Source organism: Homo sapiens, chromosome 16 (assembly GCF_000001405.40).
Source record: "Homo sapiens chromosome 16, GRCh38.p14 Primary Assembly".
Classification (NCBI taxonomy): domain Eukaryota; kingdom Metazoa; phylum Chordata; class Mammalia; order Primates; family Hominidae; genus Homo; species Homo sapiens.
In genome coordinates this window covers 71,215,881-71,238,867 of record NC_000016.10, presented here as the reverse complement: position 1 = coordinate 71,238,867, position 22,987 = coordinate 71,215,881, and the positions used below count along the sequence as shown (strand labels likewise).

Below are 22,987 nucleotides of genomic sequence, written 5' to 3'. Positions count from 1 at the left end.
CTAAGCTACCCAGTAAATGTTCCATACGTGCTTTTTGAATTGACTTGAACATATTAGATGTTCCCACAAGAGGAAGCAAAGAAAAAGTGTATTTTCTAAGTGACACAGCAAATGATCTCAGGAAGTCATTCTCTTCAGAAGAGTCCAGCTAATCTTCTTTCTCAGGGGGCATTAATGATGGGTTATACATGGCTTACCCTTAAAATGGGAGTCAGTTTCATCTCCTACTCTCAATAAAATAAGGAAGAAAAGGTGAGTAATGTTTTTAGTGTCTTAGTAATTGTTTCACAAAATCTCTGGGCCAAAAGAAAGAACTAACAGTTCCATTTATGAAGTAGTCAGGTAGAAATAGCTTAGTAAGAATTTATATACAAACAATTTAGTGCCTGTTGGACACTGCACAGTCTCATGCCTTGGAATTTGATCAGACACCATCACTCTCATTTCTTGTTCCACATTGATTTTTTAGGGGTACTTGCCTTTCATCACAGCCATTGCTAGAAACCTAGCTTTGAAGAGATTTGATGTCATTGGAAGAAATATAATAACCTAATTTTGAAACTGTGAACTACCTCAAGTTAGTAGTTTGTATGGTGTCTGACAAATGTTGCTGTGATTCCCTTGAAAATCAAAAACATCCTGAGACACTCCTTTGAGTTCACTGTACACCCTCAGGTGCCCAGTGCAGTTTGAAAACTGGCAGGGGAGCAAGGCAAGGTACAATGCTGGTGCGAGGTAGAGCAGTGGCAGAGGAGTTAAAAAGAAGGGAAATTTTGAAAAATATTTACAAGTGAAAAGTTGGAGGCAGGGAGAACTGGTCCAAAAATCCTGAATGAACAGGATATGGAGATGGAGGAAAGAAGTTTGGGAAATGGAGTTTGGACCTGGGTGACTGGCCAACTCCAATGTAGTAGGTAGCTCTTAGCTCCATCTCCACTTTCTCGAGAATGACACCCATCCTCCACATAGGACTGGGCCCTGGCAGTCATATTAATCTCATGAGACTCATCTCTCTGGCAGAAGATAATTGGACCAAGGGATCTGTTGCATTTGAGTCAGCCTAAACCAATCAGATTCTCTCCTAAGAATCTGCAGTTAAGACTTGTTTGAGTTTTCTATGGTTGCTTCAGGAAATGACCACAGACTGAGTGGTTCAAACAACAGAAATTTATTCTCTGATAGTTCTGGAGGCCAGAAGTCCATACTTTAGGTGTCAGCATGGCCGTACTCCCTCTGGAAGCTCTAGGGGAAAGCCCTCCTGAGATAGAAGGCCAGACTCAACTCTGGAGGCAGGACTCCACTCTGGGGGTGGTGCTTGGACACCAGAAAAAAATGGAAGACTAGCTAAAACAGGGACACAGAAGCAACTTTCCATAAGACATGCCCATCAGTGTGCCATGTCAGTTTACCCTTGCCATGGCAACACCTGTAAGTTACTGCCCCTTTCCATGGCAACAAACCAATGATCTGAAGTTACCACCCTTTTTCTAGAAATTTTTGCATAACCTGGCCCTTAATTTGCATATAATTTACAGTGGGTATAACTATGACTGCAGAACTGCCCTGGAGCTGCTACTCTGGCCACACTGCCTATGGGGTAGTCCTGCTCTGCAAGGAGCAGTACCTTTGCTGAACACTGCTACTTCAGTGAAAGTTGCTGTCTAACACCACTTCCTTACCCTTGAATTCTTTCCTGGGTGAAGCCAAGAACCCTCCTGGGCTAAGCCCCAGTTTTGGGCTTGCCTGCCCTGCGTCACTTCCTTGCCTCTTCCAGCTTCTTCTGGCTGTTGGTGTTCCTTGGCTTCTGTGGCTGCACTGCTCCAATCTCTGACTCTGTGATCACAATGCTTCGTCCTTATTATGTTTTTGTCTTCTCCTATTCTGTCTCTTACAAAGTCATTGGATTTAGGGCCCACAAAGTAAGTAATTCAGAGTGACCTCATCTCAAGATCCTTATCTTAATTACATCTGCAAAGACCCATTTTCTGAATAAAGGAACATTCAGTCTTGGTATCAGGCTGTAGACATCTTTCTTGGGGCCACTGTTCAATCCACTATACTTAGAGATGCATGTGAGAAGACAGATATGTGGGGGACTGGGATGACTATTTCGCAAGATTTAGGTAGAGAAGTAGAGAAACACAGGTCTAAGGTGAAGGAGAAAAGTGATGTGGAGAGAGAAGCAAGAATAAAGGGACATATGAGAGCAAAGAGAGACCAAGAGACAGGCTCTGCTTTGTTTCTGTTTAACTTTCTAGTTCTTAGTATGAGTCTCTCAGGAAGCCCAGCCATTTTCAGGTTCCACAATTTACTTGAATTTTTCAGCAAATTTTTCTATTTGCTGGTTTGAGTGGGTTTCTGTAATTTATAACAACTTGACTAAGACAAAATAGAACAGCTGGACGAGTAGGGAAGTTGGTAAACCTTCAGTCTTCTTAAGACTGTAATTAATGCCACACAAACATTAACAGAAAATTCTGATAGTGGCTACTCACAAAAAGAGGATGAGCAAATTTTTTTTTTTGTTTTACACAAAACAGAAGTTGTTTCTAGACATAATATTGCCAGAAATCATATCACATGAGAAGCTGCTGAAGATGCTTAGGAAGTTTACCCAAAAAAACAAAGGGCTGTGATGGATAGTTTTTGAACTTGAAAGACCATCCTATATAAGAATAATTAGATGTTTTATTGGGAGTCACATTCTGAGTTAATTTAGGAAGAAGTTTCTAAAAATTTTAGTGGTTCAACAATGGAGCAGCCTGGTGCTTGATCTTAGATTTGAGAAAGTGTAAGAAGTAAGCATCCTAAAAAAAGACCAGGAGGCCCTTGAGTTCAGGGGCTGTGTCTTGTTCATCTTGGTATTCTCAGTACCTAACACAGGGTCTAGTGCTTAGCAGGTTCTCTTTCAATGCTTGCTTAATAAATAAAAGAATTAAGAGCAGAAGTTTTAACAGAAGTTGAGTGACTATTTGGGGTGATGTCAAAGAGATAGAAGACTGGACTGAAGAATAATGATTATTAATAATAATGACAGCTTTCATTTATTAAGACTTTGGTTTGTGTTATCTTATTGATTGATTGAGGCAGGGTCTGGCTGTGTTGCCCAGGCTGGAGTGCAGTGGCGTGATCTTGGCTCACTGAAACTTCTACCGCCTGGGCTCAAGCAATCCTTCCACCTAAGCCTCCCAAGTAGCTGGGACTATAGGTATGCACCACCACACCCGGCTAATCTTTGTATTTTTTTGTAGAGATGGAGTTTTGCCATGTTTCCCAGGCTGGTCTTGAACCCCTGAGCTCAAGCCATCTGCCCGCCTCAGCCTCCCAAAGTGCTAGGATTACAGGTGTGAGCCACCATGCCCAGCCGTTATCATCTTATTTAATCTTCAAGAACCGTATATGGTAGTTGCCCCTGTTTTGCAGAAGTGGGAACTGCAACACAGGGAGGTTAAGTAGCAAACTCTACACAGGCAGTAAGTGGCAGAATTTGAGTTATCTCCTAATAGTCAGAAAAATTACTGCACATGTATTGAACAATTACTATGTTCTAAGAGTTTTATACACGTTGATCTCTAAGGTGTTTTACAATGATGAGTCTATGATTTCTTGATATCTGCCACCCATGTTCTTGCCCAGGACCGTCCTCTGCCTGGGTAAGTCAGAGGCTTGGGGCCCTCAGCATAACCAGCTTCCTTTACCATTCTGAAGTCTGAAGTAGTTCAGTTTTCACTGCTCATTGACTCAATTATCTGCTCACACCTTAGAAAAGACAAAGCACTGGCCTCATCTCTCCAACTCAATCCAAGTATGTTGTTCCTTAGGAGTCAGACATCTCTCATTAAGAATGGAGAAGTCTTCATCCTTTCAGTTAGCCTCTTTAATTTAGGGGAAATGTAAGTTAACAACAAAAAAAGATTTTCAAATCTGATTTACTTTCTAATAGTATAATTAACCTTCAGTGGGCTATCCATTTCTAGCTGAGTGGCTTTTTTGTTTTTGTGTTGCTTTTCCTGGGAAGGCTGCATGCCTGTCTGCCTGTCTATTGGCACTAAGAACATACCAGCCTTCTATCATTGGGGAGTTGCTGTGAACAGCCTCAGAGGAGCAGCCCCATAGCTGCTGGCCACTGGTTTTTGCAGCCTCAGCACCCCTAACCCCTTGGGGATGGGAGATTAAACACTGGTCTTAGGTCTGAGGTGCAGGTGCTATGTGACTTTAGATAATCCATATTCCTCCCTGAAATAATATGCACTTTAATATTTAACTTTATACATATTCTACTGTTCTGTATACTTCAAGATGAATACATGTTTCTGTCTTTATTTATAGCCTATTTTGTATTTTTAGGAAGCCCTTGAGCCAAACAAGCATGACTTGTGGGTGGCAGTCATAAAGCAACTTAATAATTGTCTTCTAGTCTCTCTTTAAATTTCCTCTGTGTGGCCAATTATTTCCCTGCCTGTGGGTAAACTCAGTTAGATGCTGAGACTTTTATGGACCTTTGTAGGTGTTAAAACACAGCCTCAATACAATTGCTCAAATGTTCTGTCTAAGGTGATAATCAAAACTGTTAAAAAGTTGCAGCTTCTCTCCTATTTTATTTTAGGCCTGCTGCAGACAAGAGACCTACAGTTGGAGAATGGAAGCATAGCCACCTTCTTCTCTCCTTTTTGTTGCCTTTTTGTGGGTTCATTGACATCTCTACACCTGTACCCTCAGCTGGAGAACTCTTTCCTGGCCTCTCTGGCATTGGGGCACGGGTGGAGGAGAGGAAAGGACAATAAGAAAGTTTTTACTTGTCTGATACTGCTGTGATTAAGCTGATACATCCTCTGGTGGGGCATTTTCAAGAGTCTTTCAAGATAACTTACCCTCGTTGCTGGAAATCCATATCCTGCAGTTCTCTTACTGGGACATCTTTCTTTTGGCTGGTTCTTTCCTTTTTCTTGACCCCTGGGTAACTAGCGATACCCTCAGTATGTTAGTCAGTTTGTGCTGGTGTAACAAAATACCCAAGACTGGGTGATTTATAAAGAACAGAAATTTATTTTTCATGGTTCTGGAGGCTGGGAAGTCCAAGATCAAGGCAACAACAGGTTTGTTGTTTGGTGAGTGGGCAGTCTCTGCTTCCAAGATGGCACCTTGAATGCTGCATCCTCTAGAGGGGAGGAACACTGTGTCTTCACATGGCAGAAGGCAGAAGAGTAAGAGGCATGAACTCCCTCCATCAAGCCCTTTTATAAGGTCATTAATCCCATACATGCGGGAGGAGCCCTCATGACCTAATCACCTCTTTAAGGCTTCACCTGTTAATAGTATCACATTGGCCATTGAATTTCAACACATGAATTTGGAGGGGACACTTTCAAACCATAGCACTCAGTTTTCCTTTTCTGAAACCTCTATCTAAGAGATGGAAAGGGTCTAAAATGACCCTGTACAATCTCTCTTGAATGAACTTCATCTCCTTCATAGAAAGCACTCACACATCTTTTATCTGTAAATCCTAGGGGAAGAAGGAGGGTTGTTCCTAACCAAGCAGTTCTTCTTTGCACTGCTGACTGCTGACTAGTGAGCATATCTCTTGCCCTTTTTAGCATTTCCAGGTAGGATTCAGACACAAGCCCACTGTGCCCTCTGAACTGTAGATGCCACATATTAAACACCCAGTGGCTTCCTCAAAGCCCTTTTCTTTTGACTGGAGATTTGGAGGTGGGACTCACAGCTCAGCTCTTTTTGAAGAAATCCTTCATGAAGATCTTCTTTAGAAATCCTCTTAAATCCCCCACTCCTGGCCCCTCCCCCCCTTTTTTTTGAGACGGTGTTTCGCTCTTGTCACCCAGGATGGAGTGCAATGGCGTGATCTTGGCTCACTGCAACCTCCGCCTCCTGGATTCAAGCTATTCTCCTGCCTCATCCTCCCAAGTAGCTGAAGTAGCTGGGATTACAGGCACCCCCCCCCCCCCCCCGCCGCCACCATGCCCAGCTAATTTTTTATATTTTTAGTAGAAATGGGGTTTCATCATGTTGGCCAGGCTGGTCTTGAACTCCTGACCTTAGGTGATCCACCCGCCTCAGCCTCCCAAAGTGTTCGGATTACAGGCGTGAGCCACTGCACCCGGCCTTCTCCTGACTCTTTTATACACTCAGTGTGCGGAAGATTTAAGAGTTGCCTAACTTGTTTTACTTCTAAATTCTTCATCTATGTTCTTTATTTGAAATTTGCTATTTATCATGCCTCTACCAAAATGTCTATTTTAACATCTGTAATGAGATTTCACTTGTTTATTCAAATAGCATTAAGCTCCCACTAGACCAGCACAGTCCACTAGCAATATAATACAAGGTGCATATGTAATTTAACACTTTCTAGCAGCCAGATTTAAAAAAAGAAAAAAACAGGTGAAATGAGTTTTAATAATATATCTTATTTAACATAATATATCTGAAGCATTATCATTTCAATATGAAATCAATTTAAAAATACTAATGAGATATTCTACATTCTTGTTTTACACTAGGTCTTTGAAATTTGGAGTCTACACTTACTCCACATTCCATTTAGGACCAGCTACACATTCAGTGGTCGATAGCCATAAATGATGAGAGGCAACTGTAGTGGAGCAGTAGTACAGCAGTAGACTGTAAGTTCTGTAGGCAAAGTTGGTGTCTGTCTTGTTCATTGTTATAAACAACAGTGTTTGGCATAGAGTAGGCATTCAATATTGTGAAATTGAACTAAATATAATTGAAAGAATGAAGACATTACCAAGGGAATCCTTCAATGTTTCCCCACAGCACTTACAGTCTAAATCATTCAATTCTGCACGCAATTAGTTGGCCCACATAGTTTGTAATTAAATTATTCCACAAGCATTTAAGGTTCACAAAGGAGGAAGCATCTTCATCTTGTTATCTGTTGTATCTCCCAGTCAACCACAGTTCCTAGTATTGTGATGTGTAGATTCATGCAATCAACAAATATTTATTTAGTGTCCACGCCAGGCCAGTTACTATTTTAGGTGCTGGGGATACTATAAGGGGGACACAGTCTCTGTTCTCATGGAGCTCACAGACAATAAAAAGTTACAAGAGCTTTGAAGGAAATAAATAAGGTGACATGAGAGAGTGTGATGGAGGACAGAGCAAGGAAGTACGGAGGAGAAGGAGACAGTATTGTGAAGAGCCAGGGAAGGGCAATCTGAGTGTGTCTTTTTGAGGCAGCCACATTGACTTTTCATTTTCTCGAATTCTCCAAACTCATTTCTGCCTGTAACTTTCTATTCCTTTTTCTTGTGCTGCCCACCCTCTCCCTTGCTCTTCTATAGCTGGTATCTTCCCATGTCTCAGCTCAAACGCAACTGTCTCCTCAAAGACACCCTCCCTAACCACCTGTCTACTGGGCTCATCACCCTTGACACTTCCTATCACATCCTGACATTTTGTTTAGTACCACAACCTGAAATGATCTTGTTTATGCTTCTATGAAATTGCCTTGACAATTGCTATCTTTCAATGCTGAGAAAAGTGTCCCTATGACAAATATATGACCCACAATTAGTGATCAATAGATATTTATTAAATGAATGAATGACTGAAGGTCAAGAGTTAAAGCATTTGGGAGATGTCTCAAGTCATGGTTTGAATAAATGTAAATGAAGTCTAGGAAGAACCACACTCTATTTGTCTGGTTTCTCTGAGAAGGAAGATGGGGTTAATGGATGTGGGATTTATACTCTTGCGCCGTCTCGGGCATGGGGCAACCTGAGTTTTGGTTCCAGCTCCTTTGAGAATCTACAGCTATGGACCATCTGACCGGGTAAATGGCCACAAACTTTTGCTTATAACTTAAGGGGGTTCGTGGACCTCCTGAAGAGGTCAAAGGACCACAGGTTAAAAATTCCTGTAGAGATAAGAGATTTCCACAGCAACACTGGGAGGCAGGAGGCAGGTGTTCAATGAGATAATGCACGAAGCATCTTTAAAGAACTAGGCCTGGCGAAGTGTGGCTTTGGGGAGAGGTGGTGTCCGAAGAATCCTTGGAAACCAAATTCTTTTGCACCTAGCAGCTGGGGCGGTGGTTGCTATTGACGCTTGCCTCCTCCAATCATCGCGCGGCTTGCTAGGCTGTGCGGCTCCGTGGTTACCGTGGCAACGGACGGCAACAGCTCGGGCGGCGCATGGAGAGTGCGGGCGGCTTCAAGCTGGGTATGGAGCCCCTCAGCGGCGGCGGGGTCTGTGAGTTGGACGCGGGGTCTTGGCGGGGAATGGAGGTAGAATAAACGTGGGACCCGGAGTGCACCAAGGTCAGAGGTCCTCGCAGAGATTGTGGGGTCAAAGTGTGAGGGACATGGGGGCTAACCGGGGCGTCCCCTCTTTTCGTCCTCGTCCTCGCCCTGCGTCCCAGGCGTTCTCCAGACTTTCCAGACCCCTCCCCTCCTCAGCCTTCCCTAGCCACTTCTCACTCCCATGAAAGTTACGGGACCTCGGATTTTTGTTCTTGGGATTCCCCTGCCAGACAGGTAGCCTGAAGGGCAGAAGGCCTGAGGTGCTGCCTCGCTTCCAACTTGGAATTAGCCCCAGGCCTTGGACGAATCATTTCCCGTCTTACCGGGGAAAATGGTAAAATTCACCTCTTTTAGGTGTACAGTTCCAAGAGTTTTGAAAATATAAAGTTCTGTACTGTATTAATCTGTTATCATTCTGCTAATAAAGACATATCTGAGGCTAATTACAAAGAAAAGAGGTTTAATTGACTCACAGTTCCACTTGGCTGGGGAGGCCTCACAATCATGGTGGAAGGCAAAGGAGGAGCAAAGTCGTGTCTTATATGGCGGCAGGCAAGAGAGCATGTGCAGGGGAACCTCCCCTTTATAAAACCATCAAATCTCGTCAGACTCAGTCACTATCATGAGAACAACCCAGGAAAACCCACCCCCATGATTAAGTTACCCACCATGGGGTCCCTCCCATGACACGTGGGGATTATGGGAGTTATAATTCAAGATGATATTTGGGTGGGGACACAGCCAAACCATATCATGTACTTACTGCAATAAGTATGTAGAATGATTCCATTAGCTCAGAAAGTATCTCTTGTACCTCATTGTAGTCAATGCCCCTTCCCCACTTCCAGCCCATAGCAACTAATGAAATGATCTGTTTTCTGATTCTGCATTATCCAGAATGTCACATAAATGAAATTATAACATACATAGCACTTTTTGTCTGGCTTGTTATACTTAGCATATTGCTTTTGAGATTTAACCATGTTGTTGTATGTAACAGTAGCTCATTTCTTTTCATTGCTGCGTACTATTCTATTGAATGGATGTACCATCAGCTGATGGACATTAGGATTGCTTCCAGTATTTGGTAATTATTAATAAGTAAAACTGTTATAAATATTCCCATACAGGTATTTGTATGGACATATGTTATTATTTTGATAAATACCTGGGAGTAGGATTGATAGGTTATATGGTAAGTATTAATTTTACAAGAAACTGCCAAATTGCAACCTTGTTAGCAGGTGATCTTTTTTTTATATGTATATATTTTTATTCTCCTTTAAGTTCTAGGGTATATGTGCACAACGTGCAGGTTTGTTACATATGTATACATGTGCCATATTGGTGTGCTGCACCCATTAACTAGTCATTTACATTAGGTATATCTCCAAATGCTATCCCTCCCCCCTCCCCCCACCCCACAACAGGCCCCGGTGTGTGATGTTCCCCTTCCTGTGTCCAAGTGTTCTCATTGTTCGTTGCCCACCTATGAGTGAGAACATGCGGTGTTTGGTTTTTTGTCCTTGTGATAGTTTGCTGAGAATGATGGTTTCCAGCTTCATCCATGTCCCTACAAAGGACATGAACTCATCCTTTTTTATGGCTGCATAGTATTCCATGGTATATATGTGCCACATTTTCTTAACTCAGTCTATCGTTGATGGACATTTGGGTTGGTTCCAAGTCTTTGCTATTGTGAATAGTGCCGCAATAAACATATGTGTGCATGTGTCTTTATAGCAGCATGATTTATAATCCTTTGGGCATATACCCAGTAATGGGATGGCTGGATCAAATGGTATTTCTAATTCTAGATCCTTGGGGAATTGCCACACTGTCTTCCACAATGGTTGAACTAGTTTACAGTCCCACCAACAGTGTAAAAGTGTTCCTATTTCTCCACGTCCTCTCCAGCACCTGTTGTTTTCCTGACTTTTTAATCGCCATTCTAACTGGTGTGAGATGGTATCTTATTGTGGTTTTGATTTGCATTTCTCTGATGGCCAGTGATGATGAGCATTTTTTCATGTGTCTGTTGGCTGCATAAATGTCTTCTTTTGAGAAGTGTCTGTTCATATCCTTTGCCCACTTTTTGATGGGTTTGTTTTTTTCTTGTAAATTTGATTGAGTTCTTTGTAGATTCTGGATATTAGCCCTTTGTGAGATGAGTAGATTGCAAAAATTTTCTCCCATTCTGTAGGTTGCCTGTTCACTCTGATGGTAGTTTCTTTTGCTGTGCAGAAGCTCTTTAGTTTAATTAGATCCCATTTGTCAATTCTGGCTTTTGTTGCCATTGCTTTTGGTGTTTTAGACATGAAGTCCTTGCCCATGCCTATGTCCTGAATGGTATTGCCTAGGTTTTCTTCTAGGGTTTTTATGGTTTTAGGTCTAACATGTAAGTCTTTAATCCATCTTGAATTAATTTTTGTATAAGGTGTAAGGAAGGGATCCAGTTTCAGCTTTCTACATATGGCTAGCCAGTTTTCCTAGCACCATTTATTAAATAGGGAATCCTTTCCCCATTTCTTGTTTTTGTCAGGTTTGTCAAAGATGAGATGGTTGTAGATGTGTGGTATTATTTCTGAGGGCTCCGTTCTGTTCCATTGGTCTATATCTCTGTTTTGGTACCAGTGCCATGCTGTTTTGGTTACTGTAGCCTTGTAGTATAGTTTGAAGTCAGGTAGCGTGATGCCTCTGGCTTTGTTCTTTTGGCTTAGGATTGTCTTGGCAATGCAGGCTCTTTTTTGGTTCCATATGAACTTTAAAGTAGTTTTTTCCAATTCTGTGAATAAAGTCATTGGTAGCTTGATGGGGATGGCACTGAATCTATAAATTACCTTGGGCAGTATGGCCATTTTCACGATATTGATTATTCCTATCCATGAGCATGGAATGTTCTTCCATTTGTGTCCTCTTTTATTTCGTTGAGCAGTGGTTTGTACTTCTCCTTGAAGAGTTCCTTCACATCCCTTGTAAGGTGGATTCCTAGGTATTTTATTCTCTTTGAAGCAATTGTGAATGGGAGTTCACTCATGATTTGGCTCTCTGTTTGTCTGTTATTGGTGTATAAGAATGCTTGTGATTTTTGCACATTGATTTTGTATCCTGAGATTTTGCTGAAGTTGCTTATCAGCTTAAGGAGATTTTGGCCTGAGAAGATGGGGTTTCCTAGATATACAATCATGTCATCTGCAAACAGGGACAATTTGACTTCCTCTTTTTCTAGTTGAATACACTTTATTCTTATAGCTGTGTAGTGGTATCTCATTCTGCTTTTAATTTGCATTTCCTGGTGATTAATGATGTTGAATAACATGCTTACTTGTTATTATATCTTTGGTGAAGAAGTTTGGTGAACTTGGTGAAGTTTCTGTTTGTATCTTTTGCCCATATCATTCATATATATATATATACACACACACACACACATACACATATATATATACATATATATATGACAAAAGTCAGATATTTAATTTGCGAATAATTTCTCCCAGTATGTGACACATCTTTCCTTTTTAAAACATTTTGTTACTGAAATGCCAGGGGTTTGATCTAGATCTCATTGTTTACAGCACAGAAAGCCAATCACTGGAACAAAGAGTACTGCCAGGGAAGAAGGCTTTATTTGGGTGCTGCAGCTGTGGAGATGGGAGATAGTCTCAAATTGTCTCACTAACTGACTAAAATTGGAGATTTAAATACCAGGGAAAGAATGTAGAAAACAGGAATTAGGGAGGAGTAAGGAAGAGGAATCTGGTCTCTCACTGTCTGGATGCGGTGATCTGGTGAGTTTCAGTTCCTTTATACTCTCTGGGAGGCCCGAGCGTCAGTTTTCTAAGAAAGGAACTCAGATAAGATAAATATAAGTTTCAGGCTTAAGACCAAGAGGGCCAATTTCTGTTTATTTAAAAAGACCATAAACATCAGTTCTGTGAGGAAATTGGGCTGGTTTCAATTTTCTTCATAATGTCTTTGAAGTCAAAAGTTTTGATGAAGTCTAATCTTACTAATTTTTTCTTTTATGTTTTGTGTGATATCTAAAAACCTTTGGCCTAACACAAGGTAACAAGATTTTCCTCAATGTTTCTTTCTCAGACTTTCATAGCTTTGGGTTTCACATGTAGGTCTTTGATGAGTTTTGAGTTAATTTTTATGTATGACGTCAGGCAAGAGTTGAGGTGTTTTTTTTTCATAAGGCTGAATGTTCCAACCCCATTTGTTAAAGAGACTCTCCTCCCTCCACTTACCTTGGCACCTTTGTCAAAAATCAGTTGACCATGTATGTGTGAATACATGTTTCTGATTTATCAATGTAACAGAATATTCCAGAAAAATATGAATAATTTTTGTTTCTCAAATGAACTACCAGTCATTTTAACAGCATAAAATCGATTTCTTGATAACTTTACAGTGAATTTTGAAATCTGGTAGTTTGAGTCCTTCTACTTTGTTCTTATTTTTCAAAATTGAATTGGCAACATTGGTTCCTTTACCTTTCCATACAAACTTTAGAATTAAAGGTTAACATCTCCAAAAATATCTGCTGGCATTTTGATTAGATTTCATTGGAGTATAGATTAATTTGGGGAGAATTGGCATCTTAGCAATACTGAATCTTCCAATTTATGAACATGGTATACCTCCTTTGATTTAGTCCTCTTTAATTTCTCTCAATGATGTTTTATAATTTTTAACATGCAACTTTTGCACATGTTTTGTTAGCTCTGTTTTTATTTTCTGTTTTTTGATGCTATTGTATATGATACTGTTTTAAAATTTTCAGTTTCCAGTTGTTCATTCCTTGTTTCATACCCAATCAAATGTTAAACCTCATTCAAATGTCTTGGTGGGGAGAACTGTGTTGTGTTTGTTGCAAGCCCCTCCTCCTTCTTTCTGAACCTCAAGTTCTAAGCACCAAGAGACTTTAGCAGATTTCACTCTGTGTTTCATCCCACAATACCTATGGCCAGAATCACCCCCAAAATGATGGCAGGAGATTCCCCACAAGGGAGTGCCCCAAACTGTCCAGAGATAGGGCCGGTTGGGATTCCAAAAAAAGAAGGAAAGACTAAATGCCAGAGTGGTCAATCCAAAGCATTTATTGGGGAAACTTACAGAGTGCTGCAGCAGTCCTCAAAATGAACAGTAAGAGAAAACAGGTGTTCTACCTAGGTATGACTGCAGTGAGGGGGTCAGGGTATGAGAGTTTAAGGAATTTGGCTCAGGGCCAGGGCTAGTTTCTTTTTCAGTGTTGTGGGCAGCAACCTAGATACCTTTATCAGTGCCTAGGAATGTTCCAGGCCCAGGTTTGGGTTCAAGTCTGCTACGAAAAACCTGCAACTGGATAGATCACAGAGCAGTCAGGACACAGAAAGAAAGTAGTGGGGAACGGAGAACCCTACACTCTTTCTCATTCAACTTCAGAGCTCTCATGCTGTTCCACTTCTCAGAAAATCACCCATAGGGGAATCTGGCCCTCGCTTTTTAGGTTCCTGTTCGTCTTGCCAGATTTTACAACCATCACCTATTCTGTTGGTGCCTCCTCTTACCTTAAGAATCCTCTGCCTGAGCCAAGCTGGATTGTCTCCCTGTGCCTAGAATTAGCAAATGTCCCCAGAGAAAAACATGACCAGTAACTTCAACTCATTGATGAGAGGCCATTTCCCTTCTGAAATTTTAGTTCTTCTAGTCCATTGTTAAAAGAAAAACCTTAGGCCGGGCGCGGTGGCTCACGCCTGTAATCCCAGCACTTTGGGAGGCCGAGGCGGGCGGATCACGAGGTCAGGAGATCGAGACCATCCCGGCTAAAACGGTGAAACCCCGTCTCTACTAAAAATACAAAAAATTAGCCGGGCGTAGTGGCGGGCGCCTGTAGTCCCAGCTACTTGGGAGGCTGAGGCAGGAGAATGGCGTGAACCCGGGAGGCGGAGCTTGCAGTGAGCCGAGATCCCGCCACTGCACTCCAGCCTGGGCGACAGAGCGAGACTCCGTCTCAAAAAAAAAAAAAAAAAAAAGAAAAACCTTAGCCAAATTAAATTTAACAGAGTTTAATTTAATTAAAGAATGATTCATCAATCATTTCAGAGCAAAGAACAATTTGCAAATTGAGCAGCCTCTTTTTAAATAATTTTATATTTCAATCATTTTTGAGGTACAAGTGGTTTTTCGTTACATGGATGAGTTCTTTAGTGGTGAATTCTGAGATTTCAGTGTACCTGTCACCTGAGCAGTGTACACTATGCCCAATATGTAGTCTTTTATCCCTTACCCTACTTCTGACTTCCCCAAATGAGTTCCCAAATTTCATCACTCTGTATGTCTTTGCATCTCATAGCTTAGCTCCCACTTATAAGGGAGAACGTATGGTATTTGGTTTTTCACTCCTGGGTTACTTCACTTAGAATAATGGCCTCCAGCTGCATCCAAGTTGCTGCAAAAGACATTATTTTGTCACTCCTTATGGTTGAGTAGTATTCCATGGTATACACATTTTACATTTTCTTTATCCACTTGTTGATCAATGGGCACTTAGGTTGGTTCCATATCTTTGCAATTGCAAATTGTGTTGCTGTAAACATGCATGTGAATGTGTCTTTTTCATATAATGACTTCTTTTCCTTTGGGTAGATACCCAGTAGTGGGATTGCTGGATGAAATGGTAGATCTACTTTTAGTGGTTGTACTAATTTGCATTCCCACCAATAGTGTAGAAGTATTCCCTTTTCACCACATCCCAACCAACATCTATTGTTTTTTGACTTTTTAATTATGGCCATTCTTGCAAGAGTAAGGTGGTATCTCATTGTGGTTTTAATTTGCATTTCCCTGACAACTACTGATGAGCATTTTTTCATATTTGTTGGCTGTTTGTATATTTTCTTTTGAGAAATGTCTCTTCATGTTTTAGCTCACTTTTTGAAGGGATTATTTGTTTTTTTTTTTTTCTTGCTGATTTGTTTGAGCTCCTTGTAGATTCCGGATGCTAGTCCTTTGTTGGATGCATAGCTTGCAAATACTTTCTCCCACCCTGTGGGTTGTCTGTTTACTCTTCTTATTATTTCTTTTGCTTTGCAGAAGCTTTTTAGTTTAATTAGGACCCATTTATTTGTTTTTGTTTTTGTCACATTTGCGTTTAGGGTCTTAGTCCTGAATTTCTGCCTAAGCCAATGCCAGAAGAAGAGTTTTTCCAATGTTATCTTCTAGGATTTTTATGGTTTCATGTCTTAGATTTAAGTCTTTGATCCATTGGGAGTTAATGTTTTTTATAAGGTAAGAAATGGGGACCCAGTTTCATTCTTCTACATGTGGCTTGCCAGTTTTCCCAGCACCATTATTGCATAGGGTGTCCTTTCTCCAATTTATGTCTTTATATGCTTTGTCAAATATCAGTTGGCTGTAATTATTTGGCTTTATTTTTGGGTACTCTGTTCTGTTCTATTGGTCTATGTGCCCATTTTTATACCAGTACCATGCTGTTTTGGTAACTATAACCTTGTAGTATAATTTGAAGTATTGTAATGTGATGCCTCTAGATTTGTTCTTTTTGCTTAGTATTGCTTTAGCTTTGTGAGCTCTTTTTTGGTTCCATGTGAATTTTAGAATTGTTTGTTGTAGTTCTGTGAAGAATGATGTTGGTATTTTGATGGGAATCGCTTTGGGTAGTATGGTCATTTTCACAATGTTGATTCTTCCCATTCGTGAGCATAGGATGTGTATCCATTTGTTTGTGTCATCTATTATTTATTTCAGCAGTGCTTTTTAGTTTTCCGCGTAGAGGTCTTTCCCCTACTTGGTTAAGTATATTCATATGTATTTTATTTTATTTTATTTTTTTGCAGCTGTTGTAAAAGAGATTGAGCTCTTGATTTGATTCTCAGCATGGTTGTTGTTGGTGTAGAGCAGTGCTACTGATTTGTGTACATTAATTTTGTAACCTCAGACTTTACTGAATTCGTTCATCAGATCTAGGAGCCTTTTGGATGAGTCTTTAGGGTTTCCTAGGTATATAATCATATAACTGGCAAACAGTGACAGTTTGACTTCTTTTCCAATTTGGATGCCCTTTATTTTTTTCTCTTGCTGGTTGCTCTGGCTAGGACTTCCAGTATTATGTCAAATAAAAGTGGTGAAAGTGGGCATCCTTGTCTTGTTCTAGTTCTCACAGGGAAGGCTTTCAACTTTTCTGCATTCAGTATGATGTTGGCTGTGGGTTTGTCGTATATGGCTTTTATTATTTTGAGGTAAGTCCCTTCTATGCTTATTTTGTTGAGGGTTTTTACCATAAAGGGGTGCTGGATTTTTTCAAATGCTTTTTCTTCATCTACTGAGATAATCTATGGTTTTTGTTTTTAATTTTGTTTATGTGATATATCACATTTATTGACTTGTGTATATTAAACCATCCCTGCATTCCTGGGATGAAACCCACTTGATCATGATGTGTTATCCTTTTGGTGTGCTGTGGGCAGCCTCTTGAGCCAGAGTAGGCTCAGAAAGACTCCAGTGGAGCCATGTGGTAGAAGATGATTTGTGGATTGAAAAAAGAAAGTGATGTACAGAAAATAGAAATGAGGTACAAAAATAGCCAGATTAGTTACAGCTCATTGCTTGCCTTATTTGAACACGGTTTGAAAAGTTGGCCACCTTTGGCCAAAACTCAGTGATTGGCACAAGAGTAGGCTATGGTCTGTTTACAGCTTCATTTAGGTTATAGTTCACAATGTACAGAGAAACCTTTAGGCCAAACTTAAAATATGTAAGGAGGCAGCTTTAGGCTAAACTTGATTTAACACTATATTTCTTCTATACCTCTCTAATGTCTTAAAGTATATGCTTTTTGTAATTTATCTATTTTATTTTCTAATTGTTGAAGTAGATGCTATCAAATACATTCTTCTTAGAATTAGATATTCTATTCATTGAGTTTTAATTTTTATTATTTTAATTTTCATTTCTTGAATTTCTTTTCCTACAGGATGTTTTTGCTGGTTCTTGTTCAGGGTGCTTTTCCCACTCTCTTAGTATGCTTGTTTATTTTGACCAAGAGCTGCTTATTGTCCTTGGAAAATTATTTATGGGAAGTGTTTGATGACTAAAATGAAGGAGGACCTCAGAGAGGTCCTCAGAGAAGGAGGTTCATCAGAGAGGGTTTGCATTTGCCTCTGTTAGGTACCTCAGGGAACTACCTGTCCAGGCTTATTTTAAAGTAAAAATCATACTTTGAGGCTTTTGGAGCTCACAGGTGATATGAATTTGGGCTGTACATCTCTAAGAGAGTTGGCTGTGATTCTAACCTTTCAGGGTTTTTTTTTTTTTCTTTATACCTTTCTCTCTGTTAGGTGCCAAGGAATCGTCCCCTGCATTCAGCTGGGAATGGTGGGATAGGAAGGCTTTATTTTTGACCCAAACGTTGAAAGTGTACACCTTTGGAGTGGAGTCAACTATCAGTCTCCCCACCTTTGATGGGTCCTGGGTGTTGACCTTTCCTGGAAGCCCTACCAGGCAGCCACAAGCAGAGCTCAGGGTGTCCTTGTCTGGAGGATTATCTCCTACCAAATTTGTTTCAGTGCTCCACTTACCTTTCTTGGTCCCTGTTTTCAGTTAGATGTTGGCTAGATAATTCCTTATGGTCTTGTTAGCTTTTTGATGCTTTTGAGAAGCTGAAAAAATATTTTAGCCAGCATTTTTAGTTGTTTTCAGCAGGAGAGTTGGTTCAAACAAACCAGCATAACCTATATTAGAAAACAATGTATTACTTTGTAGTCTTAATTTTTAGCACAGTCATTTACATACTCCTTGTAAAAAATTAAATACCTTAGAAATGTAAACATGAAAGGCTTCTCATTACTCCACTCTCTCTCCTAGTCTGGTTCCCCAGAGGTAACTATTCTTAATAATTTTTGTATTGAATCATTTATTGAGAGCATCAGAGTAAATCTTTCGTGAAACCTGGATGTATTCGCTGTATACATGTGTGACAAAGATGGAAAAATTCAGGTTTAGCAAATGCCAGCTGAAGAATATATACATGCAGACTAGTGACTTAAATATTTTCTTTTTATGTGAAGTGTGTATTTTATTCTATATTATATCTAAAGATGTGACAATGAATGCATGTCAGAAGCTCTTAGAAAATGATACTTGTAAGTTGGTATTTCATTTTATGTCTTGTATACAAGGCCAAATTAGAGTTATTTGGGGGAAGGAATACTTCTGGCTTGTGTGTGAGAATGATTTATGCAATCACAAAGTAGAAGGAAGTTATTACCCCTTAGTAGTTATATAGTTTCACAGGCTTTAAGAATAGTTTTGAGAATGTTTCTTCACTTTAGCAGCAGAAACATTTAGAACATGAAAACGCTCATCAGGTTTGAAAGAAACTCATAGCCTGTTAGTATTGAAACCATGTTTTAATTGGTACACATTCGGGATCTGTGTAACAGATTTTTGACCCTGGATGTGTCAGCCCTCAGATTTTATGTTTATGTTAATCTTCTGGGGGATAGTGTTCATAGCCATCATCAGATTTCCAGTAGGACCTGGACCACAAAGGTTAAAGAGCACTGGTTTGGGATGAGTACATTTCAGAACGCAATGGACCGAAATACGCTGAACCACAGTTACCATCATTAAAAGTGAAACGACAACTCATTCCTGAGGGCAAACTTTTTCTTTCAAATAATTTCTTCCAAGATCTGTTTCCTCATTAACACTGCAGAAGCACTTAGCATTTGGCTGCTCTTCATACAAAATGTCGTTTGAGAGGGATGGGGGCTTGGAATAAGGCAAAAATAATTGTAGGATTATTGCTGGAAGGGTTTCAGGTGAGGAAAATTGACATATCATAAAATGCCTCTAATGCAATTTAATTTGAAAAACTGTGCAATCTTTTAATTTATTTGGATTCAAAGTGTTTTAGTTATCTGATTTTTTTAAAGGGTCATATTTATCCCTTGAGGTGGTATGGAGGAAAAGTGGACTTTTAAAAATTGTTCTGTGCTTGATAGAAAGGCTTGTTAGAAAGTATTGGTTCAAATAAACCAGCATATCCTATGTTAGATCCTATATTCTTAAAGGGGTGATATTCATCTTAATATGAATACCAAATCCTATACTAAATCCTATATTCTTAAAGTGGTGGTCTTCCTCTTAATACCAAAAAGTCAACTTGGTTGACTTTAAAGAAAAATTAGTGTGAAATGACTAGAAAAAGCAATCTCTTGTAATTTCACTGGCAATGCATAAATCTGCCCCTTATTTTTTTTTTAAAATGGCATCTTCTTGCTTTAATAAGCTATCTAAAATGTCCTGAATGTAAAGTTGCTCTAATAACATTATGATCTGACTGTATCTGTGTCTGTTTTTATTTCTTTAAACTGCTATTATGAGCCTAAGTTAAACAACTTTGCCTAATTCTATGTTCTGTACAACTATGTTGTTGATGCTCATTTTTATTATAAACAATCCACCCAAATTTGCAGCAGTGGCTTTGAAAAAATCCCTAATTAAAATAAATTTCAAGGTTAAGCTATTTTTATTGATGTCTGAAAACAATTACCAGTACTCATGGCTTTTAAAATAATGACAGTGTGGGAAGCATATTTCAAAACCAGGAAAGCAGAAATTTGTGTTTATGAAGCCAAAAGTAGTCTTGCAATGCTTTGGAATATGCCTGGTAATTAATTATAGATGATATCATATGAAACCTCAAAGATTTTGGTGGGAGATGGAAACAAAGGGGCCTTATGCATTTCATTTCTGATATAATCCTTTTGCTGCTAGAGGGAATTACGATTTAATAAAAAGCAATAACAGGAGGATGTACTCTAAGAATACTAATTAATACCTTTAGCTCTACCAGAATGAGATTCTGTAAAAAATGGTGGGTTGTCAGTTGCCAAATCATGAAATATTGCAGGGAGGGAAAAGGCAACATACTCTTTCACAATATGGCTTGTTATGTTAAAACTGTTAGTGGTAGGGAATTTTGTACTTGTTAATCATTTGCGTTTTTACATCGCTGTTTGTAATTACAATTAAACAGATGGTTCTGAAAAAGATAGTGTGTTCTTAGCAATTAAAACCATGGCAAATAGCTTTTCCTCCTCCCCAGTATACAATTAAACTGAATAGAATCACGTAACCCAGTGGGTTCTTCAGAAGAAAGGTTCTGTGTGGATTCCAGTAGATTAGTATTCTGCTCCCCAGCCCTGTCATCTTGACCTCTTGCCCAGCTGAAAGCTTTGCAGCTGGCTGAGGACTTCCAAACATGGGTTTTATGGAGTAGTTATCCCTTCTCTGTTTTCTCCCCATATCTTATTCTTACCACATTGGGATTAATAGAATATGTTTTAGAGTGGATCTTTGGAACAGTCGCTAACAACCACTGGGTGTGTTGAATCTAATACAGCTTGCTAAATTCTAGGAGCTTGGCTAGTGCATGAAATTCCTCAAGGGCACAGGAAAATTGGTCTTTTTTTTTCTTATTCAGAAAACTAATGATGAGATGTTTGTTTATGAAAAAATCATTTCAGAGTTTGTAATCAAAAGAATACAGAATTTACTTTGCGTTCTAGGGAAACCAAAGTCTCACCTTATTGACTGATCCCCTCATCCCTATTACAACAAATTCAGGAGATTTTTCAACAACGATTCAGCACCCCAAGAAATATTTCACCAGTTAATATGTGGCTTTGTGGCCAGTGGTCCCTCTCTTGGACCAGACCTCAGCAGCGTGAATGGCTCTCCCGCAAAGCAGGGATTTGGAGCTGGCTGTGATCTGTTCGCAGATGAAACCTTGGAAATGTGTTTTGTTTGCCATGAGCATAAATAGTCCCAAGTATACTTTCAATGATTTTAGGTACAGGCTTTTGTGCCCACAAGTAAGCAGTTATTTGCTGGTGCAATTAACCATCTGCACCTTATTATGAGGGTGCAGCTGGCTAATTATGCTCGGCTCCATAGGTCAGGTTCAACTTCTCATCTGCATAGGAACTGTATTTGCAGCAAAAGGACATTGACCTTTAAAAATGAGTCCTTAAATTTAACCAGTTCATTTTGAGGTCACCACTCGTGGATTTTTATTTTGTTTTGTTCAGAAGTGAAATTCTTATATGGGTAGTGTATTTCTACTTGGGCAAAGTAATTAATGCAGGACTGTAGCACAGACATTATCATGAGTCAGGGACAAATGAGATCTCTACTTAATTCAGATGATTTTGGCTCCTCATTCTGGAGAAAGGTCCATCAATGTAGAGGTACCTGTATTCATGAACTTGTCTGAACGACAACTTGGGGCATCATCGAGACTTAAAATGGGGGTAAATGTGTGCATAAGTCAGTTCAAAATCATTTTTGCCAATAGTTGTACATTATTCTTATGATCTATTGGATGGACTATTTGAGAGAAGAACAGCAGAATACTGGAAAGGAGAACCTTAAATTTTATGTAGGTTAAATTAACAGTCAATGCAAGTTTGCTGGATAGAAAGCATCATTTAACTGGAGACTTACAGGAACCTGTCCAAAAGGTACCTACTGCTATCAGTTCCTGTGCCAAACCTGTGAGCCTGCTGGCTGTAAAACTCTTTTGTAGGACAAGAGTTGAGCCCAAAGGCAAGGGATGTCTAGTCCTCACTGATACAGTGGAGAGAGCCTTGTGGTGGGGTTGGGAAGCACAGGGCAAATGCCTTAACCACCCATGGAGTCTGGACTTGGCTAAGCACTTCCCAAACTTAGGCGACCTATTTGAAAATACCGATGTCCAGGACCGACTATAGATTGACTGAATCAGAATCTCTAGGGTAGGACTAGGTGATCCTCAGTTGATGCTACCCTGGGAAAAACTGGGTTGCAGAATTTCAAAGATGCTTTCCAAATTTTAAGAAATATTTAATTTTCAAAATGAACTCTCCTTAGAATTTTAGTTGTGGAATAGAACATACACGTAAATGTATGAAACACATTGTTACCATTTAACAAATAAAGGGAACAGATGTGTAACCACCACCTGGGCAAGGATTAGGATGTGGGTATCCTGGAATCCTTCTCCATCATAGCCCTCCTCTTCCCCACCTCAGAGGTAACTGCTATCCTGACCTTTACAGTCATTCTTGGGTTCTAATATAGTTTTGCCATTTTGTATACATTCCTAGAAACGTAGTTCAGTTTTTCCTTTGTCTGTACTTTATATAAATTGAATCACACTGTATGTATTCATGTTTCATGTTGCTTTTCTGCCCTCAACTTGATGTAAAATTCATCCATATTGTTGGTCTCTGTTTAGATCATCTTTATTGATTTGTGATATTATATTATAGGAATATGGCAATTTTTTCTATATGCTATCAATAAAAACTTGGGTTGTTTCCAATATTCCACTATTATGAATAACACTGCTATGAACAGTCTTACTCATATCTCTGTAGCATGTGCATACATTTCTCTGGACTGTCTACCAGGGTAAAACTGCTGGGTCATAGAACATACGTATCTTTAAGTTTACTAGATGATGGAATATGTTTTCTGAAGTTGTTTTACGTAGTTACAGCCCGACCAGCAAGTGCTTGGCATTTCCCATTACAACACAGAGGAGCCAATATTCAGAATTATCAGACTCAGATTTTGCCTATCTAGTACATGTGTAGGGGCATCTTGTGGTTTTAATTACATTTCCCTGTTTTTTTATTAGTTTG

The 22,987-nt window shown here is 39.7% G+C and overlaps 1 protein-coding gene across 4 annotated transcripts in view; it reads left to right on the top strand.

Moving 5' to 3' along the window:
• The window catches only part of HYDIN (HYDIN axonemal central pair apparatus protein), a 428,639-nt gene continuing 413,797 nt past the window's right edge, over positions 8,146–22,987 (top strand). For 2 of the 4 annotated variants that reach the window (NM_001270974.2, NM_017558.5), the window contains exon 1: positions 8,146–8,306. Coding sequence is in view for 2 of the 4 variants with exons in the window: in NM_001198542.1 (NP_001185471.1) it covers positions 8,181–8,238 (58 nt within the window). In the remaining 2 variants the exon portion in view is untranslated. The remainder of the gene's footprint in view (positions 8,307–22,987) is intronic. The other 2 variants (NM_001198543.1, NM_001198542.1) reach the window with 2 other exon arrangements.